This window comes from Homo sapiens, chromosome 7, assembly GCF_000001405.40.
Source record: "Homo sapiens chromosome 7, GRCh38.p14 Primary Assembly".
NCBI lineage: Eukaryota > Metazoa > Chordata > Mammalia > Primates > Hominidae > Homo > Homo sapiens.
Genome location: NC_000007.14, coordinates 17,317,432 through 17,333,474, shown reverse-complemented (window position 1 = coordinate 17,333,474; position 16,043 = coordinate 17,317,432). Strand labels below are relative to the sequence as shown.

At 33.7% G+C, this 16,043-nt stretch overlaps 1 protein-coding gene across 1 annotated transcript in view; it reads right to left on the bottom strand.

Annotated features, from left to right (window-relative positions):
- The window catches only part of AHR (aryl hydrocarbon receptor), a 47,496-nt gene that overhangs the window by 12,673 nt on the left and 18,780 nt on the right, over positions 1-16,043 (bottom strand). The window contains exons 3-6 of the mRNA NM_001621.5: positions 10,868-10,974; positions 5,627-5,716; positions 3,400-3,523; positions 2,589-2,719 (exon numbers count right to left, since the gene is read on the bottom strand). Coding sequence (NP_001612.1) covers positions 2,589-2,719; positions 3,400-3,523; positions 5,627-5,716; positions 10,868-10,974 — 452 coding nt within the window. The remainder of the gene's footprint in view (positions 1-2,588; positions 2,720-3,399; positions 3,524-5,626; positions 5,717-10,867; positions 10,975-16,043) is intronic.

Genomic DNA, 16,043 nt, shown 5'->3' with positions numbered 1-16,043 from the left:
GGCAAAATATAATTTTATTAAGACACTAAAATGAATCATCATGAAAACATATAAAGAATGCAGAGCCCTACTGAGTAAAGATATGGAAGAAATTTAGAAGACAGGGAAAACAAAGGCACTTAAACATGAACATGATATATTTAATTGCTTAAAACAATATCAACCAGTCCAAGGGATGGTTCTGACATCAAAATAATAGCAGCACAAGGAGGAAAAGGCCCTCCTGCACACAGATATTCCACCTCAGACATACACTCACATGTCATTTAACAAAAGGGGCATGTTCTGTGAAATGTGTCCTTAGGCAATTTCATTATCCTGTGAACATCAGAGGGTAGGTTCACAAACCTAGATGGTATAGCTTACTACGCATCTAAGCTATACAGTATAGCCTTTTGTTCCTAGGCTACAAACCTGTACAGCATGCTATCGTACTGAATACTTAAAGCAATTGTAACATGATGGTAAGTATTTGTGTATCTAAACATAGAAAATATACAGTAAAAATACAGTATAAAAGACAAAAAATGGTATACCTGTATAAGAGCACTTATTGTAAACAAGGTAGGCAGGACTGAAAGTTGCTTTGGTTTAGTCAGTGAGTGAGTGGTGAGTGAATGTGAAGGCCTGAGACATTACCGTACACTACTATAGAGTTTATAAACACTATACACTTAGGCTACGCTGAATTTATAAAAAATATTTTCCTTTTGGCCAGGTGCAGTGGCTTATGCCTGTAATCCCAGCACAGTTTACTGTAACATTTTTACTTCATAAACTTTTGCATTTTTAACTTTTGACTCTTCTGTAATAACACTTAAACACAGTGTACAGCCATACAAAAACATTTTCTTTCTTTATATCCTTATTCTATAAGCTTTCTTCTATTTTTTAATTTTTAATTTTTTTACTTTTTAAACTTTTTTTGTTAAAAACTAAGACACAAACCCACACATTAGCTTAGGTCTGTACAGGGTGAGGATCATTAATGATCCTATCTTCCACCTCTACATCTTGTCCCACTGGAAGGTCTGCGGGGGCAATAACATGCATGGAGCTGTCATCTCCTGTGATAACAATGCCTTCTTTTGGAATATTTCCTGAAGGACCTGCCTGAGCCTGTTTTACAGTTAACCTTATTCTAAAATAATGATTAAAATAAAATAATTAAAAGTATAATACATTTAAAAATAAAGTAAAATAATGATTAATAGTAAATACATAGTGATTTATTATTGTTTTATTTTCAAGTATTATGTATCATATATAATTGTATGTGCTATACTTTTTATATGACTGGCAACACAGGTTTGCTTCCATCAGCATCACCATCAACATGTGAGCAATGCTATGACATCATTAAGTGATAGGGATTTTTCGGCTCCATTATGATCTCATGGGACTACCATCATATACATGGTCTGTTATTGACCAAAGCATCATTATGCAGGACATGACTCTACATACTAATTGTTCATGAGCAATAACACTGGGAAAACTGTCTCAAAGCATAATTCTAATTCTGGGTCAGCAAAATCCTCTTCAGAAATAAACACATAAACAAAAATCATTGCTTGGTAATGTTAATTTAAGATTTGATTATCTGTTTCAAATTCCTTGTTATTCACAAAAAGAATATACAATATACTTTGTATTTTCTTCTCCTGTACTTGGTAACATGAGCTAAGGATACAATGAGATAACAGACAAGTCCACTCTGAGGAATCCTAAGCTGTTCCCTACAGTCAACTCCTATGCAGGTGTTCAGACTTTGTAACAAGAAAACAGCATCTCCTATCAAATGATGATTCCACAATCATGAATATACAATCGTTTTTCTATGTGGCAGTTATTTGAGACATATGGAAAGGCCATAATTTCTCTGTCTAGCAGGCATTCAATCCCAAGATGGTAAGCATCCTCCTATTAAAAAAGGGCTACATAATTCTCTCATACCTTAAAAATCCTAAAATAGTCAAAATACAAGGCTTCGTGTTATTTCACTCAATTTTTGTTACTATATCCTAAAGAACAGTTTTCTGAGTTATAGAAGATAGTCAAAATCAGAAATAATTACTTTAAAATGTTACTTTCCTTTATCAAATTATTTGGTAGCAGATTTTTAAAGCTGAAATCAAAGATAACCAAAGAAAATTGGCTTGTTTTTTCTATAACTTAATGTTAAACTAAATTTGGGCTGAAGATGCCTCTGCTCCTTAAGTCCTTACCAAGGAATTGCAACTTCATTTACTATATAAGCTAACGGAAAGCCTAACAGTAGAATTAAACTTTTGTAACCAAATAGCTGAGTCTCAGTCAGTCACAGGTGGCCAACTAATCAGATCATCTTCAAATAAGGCAAATCCCAAGCTGTAATCAATCAAGCCATTTCTGTACCTCACTTGCATTTTCTGTTCATAAATGCTCCAGCCCATGTTTTTAAGTGAGCTCTCTGAAGCTCTCTGGTTCTGAGGGTTGCCTGATTTGGGAATAGTTCTCTGCTGAATTATATTTTGCTAAATTAAATTTGCCTCAAGCTTTTATTGTAACAATAGTAAAAGCCAGTATCATAAAATTTTGTACCTTACCAGAAAACCAGATGAATTATCCAGCAGACACCTTAGACGACATATGAAGCACCTCTCCATTAAAGGAGAGTTTTCTGGAGGAATCTGGTCTGGGTTATAACAGACTACTGTCTGGGGGAGACCAGTGGCTTCTGTAGAAATAAAGGCAAAACAAAATTTACTTTCCATTTTGCTGTAAAATTAAGCACTTGAATAGGTAAAATTTGTATTAGTTTCTAAACTGGAGTCTGTGTTCTGAATACAAAAAAATCATTTTCAAAAGAGCTAATGACAAGAAACTAAAAGTTTATTAAATATCACTTTTATCAGATAGAACTTGCATAATTTTTTAAATTTTTATTGAGCTATCACTGTCAACAATTTTCATATTTTCTAATGCATTTTTGTTTTCTTAACACTTTAACAAATTTCCAAAAACATTTTTTGCATTGAGAAAAGCATTTTTATACTTGCATATGCTAGCTTACTTTTTTCTTTGGTGCATTTTAAACACAATAATTTACATGCACTCAGGTATCAACCTTGTACCTTCCTTCCATCTTTCATGAAGGTACTACTTATTTTTATAAAATACATTACTGACTATGGCAATACTCTGTTGCCTGAAACTCATTAAATGGCTCTCATTTGCCAAAATATTCCTTAGCTCATCAGGCTCTTTGTGACCTAGCTGTGGCCTATGATTGCAGACTTTACATCTTTCCACTACTTCCCTATCATGGAGTTCTATGACCCTACAGGTTCCCAGCCTCCTTTCACAGACTCATATTTAAAAACTACCAACACTATTTTTTGTACCATCAATTCTTACCTTCAATTCCTTGTCCAGACTCTGTACACTGAGAAGGATTTAATGCCCAGTGTAGCTGACGCTGAAATTCAGCTCGGTCTTCGGTATGGATAAGTTCATATACACTCTGATGTATGACATCAGACTAAAGAAAAAAGATACAAGGAATACAACAAAAGGACTGATTAAAAAATATGGCTAAATTAATTTTAAAGCCTATTTAGATTAGTGGGTGCTTGCTAGTGGTGATGAATACGAATTGAATGATTCCTAAAATTCCCTAGTCACCTAAGATAGAACCTAAGGTAGAAAAAGCTAAAGAGACTGGCACTACAACAGATAAGCCAAAAGTTACTTGTCATCAGTTCCCAACATGAATGCTCTTGCTCAAATAAGTCACATCCCCATTCCTTAAATGCAACATATTAAAATCTGTTTATGTTCCATATTCATTTGTTAGTTTTTAGATTCTTATCTCTTCCATGCAGCTTTTCCTAACCACCCCAGGCCTCTTTGACTTCTCTAAGCTTAATGGTATTCTTTATGTATTTCCTTCACTGTTCTCTAAAATTTTCTTCATATAAAATTTTCACTCCAAGTAGACTCCACAAGAGCAAGGGATTGTGCCTTTACCATATTAAACCCACTTTCCTTCTCTTGCCTCTCACCATTTACTACGGTGCTGAGTCCTTAGTGCTTAAACCAGAGTTTTCCTTTTTTTTTAACTGCAAGTTATGATAAAAAATACATTTCCATCTGTCACAGGTGTGTGCACAGACATAAACACATGGAAAAGTTTCACAAAACACTTACCATTATTACATGAGATAACACTGTGTATTCTATATTATTTTATTCTATCCTAAACAACTAAAAAACAGTTTGATAGTGATCCACTGTCTCGACTGCATACCCATGAGCGAGTCATAACTTGCAGTTTTAAAAATGGTGTCTTAATCTACCACTTGCGTCAGATATGAATATTCTTTTAGGAAAAAAATCCATGTGTATATGCGAGAAAAAAATGGATTGGAAAATGGCTAATCTCTCTGATTTTCTTACTAATATAAATCACAATATCAAATCCTGATTAAGACAGTTATATAATACATTAGGCTTCAAACAGGCTTTTCTATGGACATTAATGTATTTTCTTTAGAATGCAAGAAATCAGGAGTTTAGACTTTGTGGTAGCAGTAGTAGCTAGATACCACTACTTTAGTCATCTACACTTAAATCTTCCTAGGAACCTAATCTTCTAGTATTAAATCATCTTGATGCCAACCATTACACAATTTCCAAAAGTTGCATCTGAAACACAAGTTGAAATATACACACCCCCTGTAACAAAACCCTTCAGTGGTTTCCACTGGGTATATAATATAGTTGAAGCTCTAGTCTATATAACTGTTATTAAGACCAGCAGCCTTGTGAGCTTAATAGAAATGCAAATTCATGGGCCCCACTGTGAACTACTGATTCAGAATATCTGACAATGGGGCTCACAGGGATGACCAAGTTTTATCAAGGTCTTCAGGTGATTCTTGTGCACAGTACAATTTGAGAACCAGATATATGAGAATAGCAAGCATTCAAATGTTACAATCTGTTCTCAAACCATAAAAGATGTTCTTGCCCTTCCAATATATCAAATATTTATAATTCCATCTATTCACTGTTCATTCAATAACATCAAACAAGTCAGACACGTCTGTTTCCTTCAATGACTTCCAGTCTAATGCTTACAGTACTTCAATATTCCTATGTTTTCTTGACCACCCACCTGTTACACATTATTTAGGTCAGCTTACATACCATTTGATTTAGGGTAACTTCCATAATCCAAATAAATCAGAATTAAAGGTATAAATCATAGGATTTTACTTGTACTTTTTAACAGCATCTCATTCATTTCATAGTTGTCATATATCCTCTGCTATCCATAAGTTATTTGATAGCAAATAATTTTGTATCTTCTCCCCTAGACCCTACGTGCCTGAAAGTTTCTTATATATAAGATTCTTGATAAGCGAAAGAAGAAACACAGTAACCATGAATCACATAAAGGTTTAAAGGAATTATAGTGCAGTAAATTATTAATATTAGAAAAAATTATTAGCTACAAATACATACTGTATTCTACAGCATATATTGATACTTTATACATACAAATGGCCAACTGTGTCCTAAATATATATAAAAAGTAAATGATATAATAATATAAATGATATAAATAATATATACTTACCTGCTGAAACCCTAGATAATCTTGTATAGTAGAAGAAGCATAAAAGACCAAAGCATCTGTAGTGACAACTAATACAAAGCCATTCAGAGCCTACAAGGAAAGGAAGTTCTAAAATTAGTAATATGACTTAATATTGACCATCAGATAAAGGTTATTACTTTTATCTCTGAAAATTCTTCTCTTCAAAATAGTTAAAATTGTCACATTTCACAAACACAGCCAAAACATACACTCCTGGACTAAGAAATATCTATTCATACCTTTTGATTTGTCTATGGAAAAATGGCTAAATTTAATGCTCAATCAGAATAACTTTGGTAGAATATGGAATTCATCTTCTTCATGTTTCAGATTTTCTCTTTTAAATATATTGTATATATTTTTTAAAAAACAAACTAGACATCATTCACTATAGTCTATCACACTGCTTTTTTTTAGAGGGAAACAGGAGGCAAAGATGTTGATTAGATTCTTAAACTGGGAACATTAATAGAAAACTCTTCTTGTACAAAGACATTTCAAGCACTGATGCTAACATTTTAAGTCACAGAACATTTTAAGACTTTTACAGGAAAACACTATATATATAAAATATACATGTAATTAAACTATAATACACATGTAAAGCAAGCATACAGTGAATTTAGTCCACTAAAATTTAATGTCATTATGAACACATACCTAAATTTATCATTTTATATGTGTTATTTCTATTTGTTCACAGCACATTCACATGTATAATGTTTCTTTTTCTCTCTGTTTTGCCTACTTTGGGTCCATTATTTTTTATTAGCCCATACTCTTTAGTTTGGATGTTATAGTTTCTTTTCCTATTACTGGATAATTCAAGTCCAATATCAACTAATACCTTTATTCTCCTCTTGGATAACAATAGTATCATAGATCACTTTATTATTATCATATATTTTAATTCTACAAGCCCTCACTATTTTCTCCTTGAGTTCAATTTGGTACTTGATCTATTCTTTACTATGTGATCACAGCTAATGTCTTCTAACACCCTGTTTTTCATGTAAGGAGAAACACAGTATGGTTTAGTTTAAGAATTGTACTGTGTAGTCAGACAGATTTGGTCTGGACTCCTGTCTCTGTCTATTACTAGCTGTGTGGCTTTGGTTAAGCTATTTACTGCTTTTTAGGCTTCAGTGTTATTTCAAAAACTGGCACTTCATCAGGTAGATATAATGACGATATCCCACCTAACTCAATGCTTGGCACAGAGCCAGCACTCAGTGTAATAAGGTACAATGTTATATGGTTGTAGAAATGAGCAAATAAAGATTTATATCACCATGCTTTGAGAACTATAAAGAGCTATATAAATAATAGTGATTCATTTATTCAACACGTAATAAACTATTACATACCCAAGAGGAGATATGTATGCTAAGTACTGGGATTTAAGAGTTAACAAGTCTTTGCCCTAGTGCTTATGCTGCTCACATATAGTCCAGTCGATATCTTCATTATCAGATGAAATAAATGAAATACAGTGACTGTCTCTCTTTCCACTCCAATTACTTTCCACCTTCAAGATTCTTGATCTATATTATACTTCTAAGAACTTGACTACAAAGATAACAACTATTATTTAGTATTCCTTTTTCTAAATGTTTTTATGTATTTGAGTGGTTTCTTCTCCCAAAAACCCAATGAGGTAAGTGCCATGTTCCAGTTTTACAATAGAAGAAACTGAGGTCAAGGACTATACCTTTAAAAGTAACTTGCCCAAGGTCACATAGCCAGAAAATGGCTGATCCAGGAGATAAATTCAGTCTGGCTCCAAAGCGTACTCACTTAAATAACATGATATGCTGCCTTTATGTGTTATCGATCCCAAATTGGTGCATGGTTCTGACTGTTTTGTTCTATTTTTTTACTTTTAAGTTCAGTGGTACAAGTGCAGGTTTGTTACATAGGTAAACTTGTGTCATGAGGGTTTGTTGTACAGATTATTTCATCACCCAGGTATTAAGCCTAGTACTTATCAGTTATTTTTCCTGATCCTCTCTCCCTCCTCCCACCCTGCAGCCTCTAAACGGCCCCAGTGTGTGTTGTTCCCCTCTGTGTGTCCATGTGTTCTCATCATTTAGCTCTCACTTATAAGGGAGAACATGTGGTATTTGGTTTTTCTGTTCCTGTGGTAGCTTGCTAAGGATAATGGCCTCCGGCTCCATCCATGTCCCTTTAACCACAAGCAGGCTCTCAGGTTTTTGACTGCAAATATGATATGTAATACCTGGCAATTCTCTTAGGATAAACAATGGTGATTCTACCCATAAGAACTTGAATAGTTAATGACTAACACATTCAAAATTGGATATTCTTAAATTCTCTTGGCAGTAACACTATATATCCGTCATTGCACTGATTCATCCTGAAAATATCTGCTTCTAGGGAAGATTATCCATTGATCACATTCATATTATTTTGTAGAACATCATACTTTTTCAAACAGTGAAACAAATTTAGTCACATTCCAATAAACTCATTGGTGTACATGCCAGAAGACAGAAGGATAATTTAAGTACAGTTATCAAATCTCTTTAGACAAATGTTATTATCAGAAATAAAAATCTAGAAACGATAGATGCACATCAATTTTTATATATCTCAAATGATCTCAAGTACCAGGAGACCCAAGGTTATTACTTGTATTGATTTCTCTCAATAAATTAACAGAAGGAATTAATATGCTAATTAAATAAAAGAGATCATCATTCTTTTAGTCACAAAGATTCACTCAACCTATCTGAAAATTTTGTTAAGCTCACTTATTATTTCAGAGAAACTGCAATACTGTTATATAAAATTTCAACTCCTGTCACTGAAAAACAAAGCTGCAAGATTTTAACAATACAGTATTAAATAGCAAGAGATATATTTTAAACTTATGAAATAAACATGTGAAGTAAATAAAGACACAGTTATTCACATTGTTTCATTTTTATTCCTTGTAAAATAGTAATAAATTGAAGCTAACCTAGAAAGATGTCTTAAACTTTTAATAAATTTTTTTTTTTTTTCAGATGGAGTCTCGCATTGTCACCCGGGCTGGAGTGCAGTGGTGTGATCTCTGCTCACTGCAACTACTGCCTCCTGGCTTCAAGCGATTCTCGGGCCTCAGCCTCCTGGGTATCTAGGATTACAGGCACCCGCCACCACACCCAGCTAATTTTTTGTATTTTTAGTAGAGATGGGGTTTCCCTATGTTGGCCAGGCTGGTCTTGAACTCCTGACCTCGTGATCTGCCCGCCTTGGCCTCCCAAAGTGCTGGGATCACAGGCGTGAGCCACCGCACCTGGCCTTTAATAAAAATTTTTGTAACATTTTCTTCATATGCCTTTGTTAAGCAAAGGAAAATATTTCTCCTCAAAAGTTTTAGGCCATATGGTATACAGAACCTCTGGTAACACCTTTCACACTGTAGTGGTAATTGGCTGATAACCGTCGGTTGCAATATAAAGTCAGATGTCATTATGCAATTGTTATAATCAAACAGCCATTTCCACATATCTATAATGTTTTTAGTCATCTTCTTCATAAAAAGATAACATATAAGCACAATCCTAAGAAAATCATAGAGAATGTGAGTCTTCCTATTAAAAGAGCAATCTACAAATGGTATTCAATATAAACAGGTAAGTTTATTTTAACTTCTTAAGGGTTACCAATTTGCAGATAATTTAAAATATATATATTCCATATAATTATAGCTTTACAGCTTTGCATTCATATTATTGTTATTCTGTTTCCCTGACATAGGGTATGTACACAATTTGCCTAAATGTTTTGGGAAAAAAATAAAAATGGCCCATAATTTAAACCAACTTGCCAAGTGTTACGTCAATCAGTACATATCTGTCTATTTCACCTGAAATACGGGATTTCATTAGGCCCTTAGTAGAAAACCCAAGAGGTGTGTTTAATCATCTTAAATAGCAATTATTAAAATGCTTTCCTATGACCTGAATAAGGAGTCTTTATGTTTGGGTTTACATATACATGAAGATCCTCAGTTGGGGCTAGGGGAGGACTCATGCTTTAATAGATTTACTTTGTTTAACATAAGTTAATTTTTGCTAACAGGACTTTGAATGTGATTACACAATTGTAATAAAAATGTTATATTATTAGGCACATCACCATCCACTGAATGAACTAGTGGAGTTACCGAAACTTAGGGTTACTTTTTGTAACAATGGTGAAGTTTTTCTAGTCAGTTCAGTGGGTGAAACTGATAATGATCACATAGCGGTGACAGCACACATGGCACACATCTTTATTCTATCTTTTTTCAACAAAATAAGTATCTGAGAATTTTAAGTGAGAATCAATCATGGCATCAATTCTAAAAAAAAGAGTAAAAAAAGATGCAAAATGCTTTCATAGACAAATTAGAAACTAAATTCTGAAGCATAAAAATAGGGATTGGAGTTGTTGAGAAAATCTTTAGTATGTTAATAAGTCACAAACAGTTGCTAAAATAAAATGTAAGTTATAACATATTGGCAAAATGAAATTTGGGTTAAGAACTATTTTAAACTATTTAAGAAATGCATTTAACAATTTTAATAGAGATACATTCCATAAAAATATATATAAATTCAACATCTTAAATTAGAACCTCTAAAATACTCTAGGAGTTCTTGCTGTTTGAAGAAATATTAATACAACAGAAGGGGTTGACCGGTCTTCTAACTAATCTACTTCATATACAGTCATGCATTACTTAACAGGGACACATTCAAAGAAATATGTGGTTAGGTGATTTTCATCATCATGCAAACATCATAGAGTGTACTTACACAAACCTAGATGGTATAGTCTACCATACACTTACGCTATACAGTATAACTTATTGCTCCAAGGCTACAGACCTGTACAGCATGTTACTATACTGAATACTGTAGGCAATTTTAACACATGGTAAGCATTTTTGTATCTAAACTAGAAAAATTACAGTAAAAAATATGGTATAATCTTACGGGACCACTGTCGCATATGTGGTCTGTTGTTAACTGAAACATCATTATATGGTGCATGACTATAATTCCAGTTTTTCATGTATTAAGCATCATTCACTATCGCAGTTCAGATGAAAGTGGCAAAAAACATTGAGCAAATCCTAAGTAAACAGGGAATTACTAAAAGACTTATTAATTCATTTTCCATTTACAACTGTCCTTAGTGTAAGAAACTATATTTACTAAAATTTACCTGTAATAAGAATTCTCCTTCTTGTAAGTTCAGGCCTTCTCTGAAATTTGCTGCTCTACAGTTATCCTGGCCTCCGTTTCTTTCAGTAGGGGAGGATTTTAATGCAACTATGGAAAAAAAGGAAAAACAATGATTTTAAAAGTAAGCAAGAGTAAAGAGCTATAATAGAAAACTTCTGAACACCAAACAAAGACAATTTGAAATACTGGCATCCACTGGTATTTTTAGTATTTGGCTAAAACAAGGTAAATAATAAATACTAGGTAAGTAATCCTGTTGCCAGTGGGTAGCTCCTTATTCTATGCTAGTAACAAAACTGAAGGGTTTAGTCAAGTTGTCAGCTGACAGATTGTTAAAAATAATTTTTGATGAGTTCACGATATAATTTTGTCACAAAACTTAGGAGTTTCAAAGAACTGCACAACACTGTTACAAACACTCCTCTCCACTCCTACCTCCTTTCTTAGGAGACTAAAGTTCTCCATAATGTAACCTATAAAAATGAATCCAACATTTTTATGTATTTATTGAAATATTAGGGAACTGGTGGTGGTGAGGAGAAAAAAAGCAACTATACACCTTATTGAGAGATGGATTTCTGATGTTTGGAATCTTCTTGTCCAGCATTTGGGTAAAAACTGTTAATTACTGTGACTATTTAATAGGTTCATGTTAAATTTATAAATTAACTCATGGAGAATTAATGTCTTTATAATCTTGAATCATTCTATCCAAGAACATACATTTCTTTCCATTTGTTCAAGTCTATATTTTGTCCTGCTAGAATGTTTTAAAGTTGTCTACAAAAAAGATGTGCACAGGTATCTTTATATTTACTCCTAGGTATTACATCTTGTAAAGTGGCTTTTCCGGTATAGCTTTTAACTGCTTGTGGATTATATATGTGAAGGAAAGTCTGATGGCATGATAGGATGCTTACTATTGGAGGTGTCATGTTATAATGCTATCTCTTCTTTTTTTTCCTCACTGTGTGTGTGTGTGTGTGTGTGTGTATGTGTGTGGTATGTATGTATTTATAGTCTGGGAGGAAGCGCAGCTGAATAGAAATAATAACAGCTACCACTTAAACATTTTGCCAAGCACTTTCAAATATTATCTCACTTAAAAGCATGTGGATATTGGTAACTGACAGAATTGGGCTCAAACCTTACCTCTGACATTTACTAAAAGTGGGAGTTATTTGAGCCTGTCTCCTAATATGTGAGGTGGTAATTAAAAAAAAAAATTTTAAAGCACATCTTGCAGGGCTGTTGTGAAGAGTAATGAGAATATATGTAAAGTTTCTGACACATAGTGGATCAATACTGTTCAACAAACAGTAGCTGTAATTAGTAGAAATATTTCTCAGAGCTTATGGATTGCTTGGTTATAAAGCATAATCTTTTAGATACTTGCCACTTTCTGACCTTCTTTTAACCTGTGATATTTGAATAAGAGAAACCATTAAATAAAACTGACTCTGGCAGTCCTCTTAACATTTATCTCACTATATTTTTATGTGACAAAATAATCCAGCTCTGAAAAAACTAGAGATTTACTAATAACTAGACTTTCTCTCAGTCTGAGCAGAGTTCCACATATAAAACCTGTCTGCAGTCTTTCATATTTGCAGTGTATTTTCTGGTAAATCATCAGTGAATGTGTCACACCAGAATCTCATGCCATTCTGGCCTTTGCAGAAGTTAAAACATATCTCTTTGCAAGAAACAGCCAAAAGCACGGTCTCTGAATGTAACTTCAAAAGGCCAGAGAACAGATTTCCTTAGGCCAAAAAACAGTTTGAGGTAAACTGACCTAACAGTTCATCAAGACCAAAGGAAATGTTTAATCTGTACACAGAGAGAATGGCAGAAGAGAGAATGGCCTTTTCTCCCTTTCTATTCGGTAAGTTATGTTGTTGCTTGCTTACTAATGGCCACATTTGCTTGAATGCACTAAAACCATACAACGTCAGAGTCAACTATATTCTGTTACTTTTCTAAAAGCTCTGGTATGAAGCATCAGTAACACTTGCTTTTAAAAAGAAAACAACAAAGCCAAACCCTTACATTATGAAATAAGCCTAAAAACGGACAATAACAGTGTCAGACTTTATATATCTAAATTATTGTTTGGAATCTCTTAAAATTAATATTTAATCAACACAATTGATATTAGTTCCACCTAGAGTCACTGGCAGTAGAAAAACATAAATATTAAGAGATAACTACTTGATCACTGAGAAGATGACTAAGCAATGAAAGAGACCATTCATCTTAGAGTAATTTATAATTTGTTCTTGGGCTTGTACTGGGAGTATTAGCCAATGTAATTAGACACTTGAGTCAGACCCTGTCTTTAAGTAGGGGATATAAGCTATGGAAATAACTAGAAAACAATGTCAAAAATACTAAGTACCAGAATAGGGTTTAATTAAAGTATTACAGGAACTTGAAGTAGAGAAAAAATAAAAAGAACAAATTCTTTCTAAACAACAATGCTTATAATTCCAAATGTTGGAAGGATGATAGATAATATGTGTAACTACTACATAAGTAGGAAAAGTGACAAGTTCATTTGGCGGAATGATCACTGGAGGTTTCTACCAAAAACAAATATGCAAATATTTCTGTTGCTCTTGTGTTTAAGGTTAATCACTGGTAAATAATTGAAGTAAATATTGTGCAAAGATGAGTCTGAGAAGGGTGGACTTTTAAAATCATTTAAAAAAACACTGCTGTGCTTTTTCAGGAAACATTTTATGTCATGGCCTTTCAGCCTAAACTATGTAATGTCTACCCCTGCATGAAGTTTTTCTTCTATTTCTTGCTCTCATGCCTACTACCTCTAACTTAGTAAATTACTAGAGGCTCTATCAATACTACTCATTTTCATGTATATATTGCTTGTGCTGATTAGAAAGAAAACAATGAGTAAGAAAGTGACATGAGACACTGTCACAAGAGCTGCTTCCTACCATTGGAGTGACCTTACTTAGTACTCATATGTGATATTGGGCACACACTGTACACCTAGCACTTTCCACGTATTATATCCTATTTAATCTTCATAATAGTTCTATGAGACTGACACTGTTATTTCAATATATTAGAAAGGTGAGACTTAAGGAGATTGAGAAAATGTTCAGAGTCATAGAGATTTAAGTGGCAGAGCTTAGACAAAAACTCAGGTAGCCAGACCTCAGTGTGTGAGCTATTATTAGCCACCGCCCACTTTGCTAACTACCTTTGACCTTTAGTTTCCTCATCTTTAAATGAGGACAATGCTACCTCTTGAGACAAATTCTTGTGAGGATTAAAATAACATGTACAATACCAGGGTAATGCCTGGAATCAATCACTGACAATCAAGGACAGAGGTAACGAAGTCTATGCTGACTTTATACACCCTCAAACCATGATGAGAAACTTACAATTAAAGTGCCCCTAAGGAGGTAACTGAGTATTTTTATCATCTTTAAGTGGAAAGCAGTAATTAGTATCTAATAGGATTACTATGGTAACTATATGACACATTTGAAAGTACAGCTGACCCTTGAACAACATGGGTTTGAACTATGCAAGTCCACTTACATGCCTCTGCCACTCCCAAGCCAGCAAGACCAACCCTTCCTCAGCCTACTCAACATGAAGACAATGAGGATGAAGACCTGTATGATGATCCACTCCACTTAATGAACAGTAAATATATTTTCTCTTCCTTATGATTTTCTTAATAACATTTTCTTTTCTCTGGCCTACTTTAAGAATACAGTATATAATACATATACAAAAGACACATTAATCGGCTGTTCATGTTATTAATGCATTGTTCAAGGGTCAACTATACTTCAAAACTGTAAATTGTTACATAAATTATATGCATAACGACACTTTAAATATTACACCACTGGAATTAAATTTATGACAGTCCACAGAAACAAAATGTAGTATCTGAAAATAGGTCACCAGCTGGGAAGTATCTGCTGTACCGTAATGGGCATTTGTTAAAATCTTCCCCATCAGTGAGGATATGTACCACTTTCCAAAGTGTGAGAATCAGACTCTGAACATTCAGTAGAATGTTAAGATAGTAAACCACCAAAATATTTCCACTATTTCCTCATTGAAAGATCTATGAAGGAGTCGTACAATACAAATAAGAATTTAATCTAACAAATGATGGAATTTAGAGTGCAAATACATCACAGCATTATCAAATGGTCATACCACAGATGACTCAAGTTTTATTCCCACATGCATTTAACCATATCCATGTTTCCTAATACGGTACTTTCCTTCCTTAGACATCTAAGCTCAGATTTCCCCTACTCCCTAAATGCCACATCTCTTCATATCACATGCTTTGAATTGGTCAAGGAAAAAAAAATTCATGAGGAATACCGAATAGTGGTAAACTATATTTTGTATTTTGTTACTATAGTTTGCATTTAAACAGAAAGATGATCTTGCCAGGGAAAGCATATCCCCTTTTAGTCCCTAACTGCTGCTATAAATTCAATTAATTTCATAATATTTACCATCCCCTTTACTACTTTGGCAGGGTAGTCCTTAAAAGTTTGTTCTATCCAAACTCTTACATAAAAACTGACTTCCAAAGATGTTTAACATTCTTCCAGTTACTCATTGGTACGCACTCAGTTTTATACAATTCCTCTATAACTATATGACAAATCTCTGCATTAATGGAACAAGAGCAGTTAATTGACCTTTTCAGTGGGGAATGAGTTGCACTTAGCTTTTCATATATACAAGAGTAGTATTTAAATTGCATTTTAAGTAACATAATGTAAATACTCAATGAGGGCAGTGATCCTTAAGCTTTCACAGACATTAGAATCACCTGGAAGGCTTAAAATACAATGCTTAGCCACACCTCTAGAATTTCTGATTCAGTAGGTCTAGGATAGGGCTTTACAGTTTGCATAGGTAACAAGTTCCCCAGTGATGCTGAGAATGAGGTGCCATTCTTTGAGAAACAGAGACTTAGAACCTCAGGATTTAGGAAATAACTCACGTATGTTCTGGATTGAATTCCCTCATACTTCTTAAAATTATCATTCCATGCTGTTCAGCACAGTTATTATTGTGAACTTCTTCGGGAAATAATAACAATTTTACAAACACAAAAGCTGAAGCACCTATCTTAAGACATA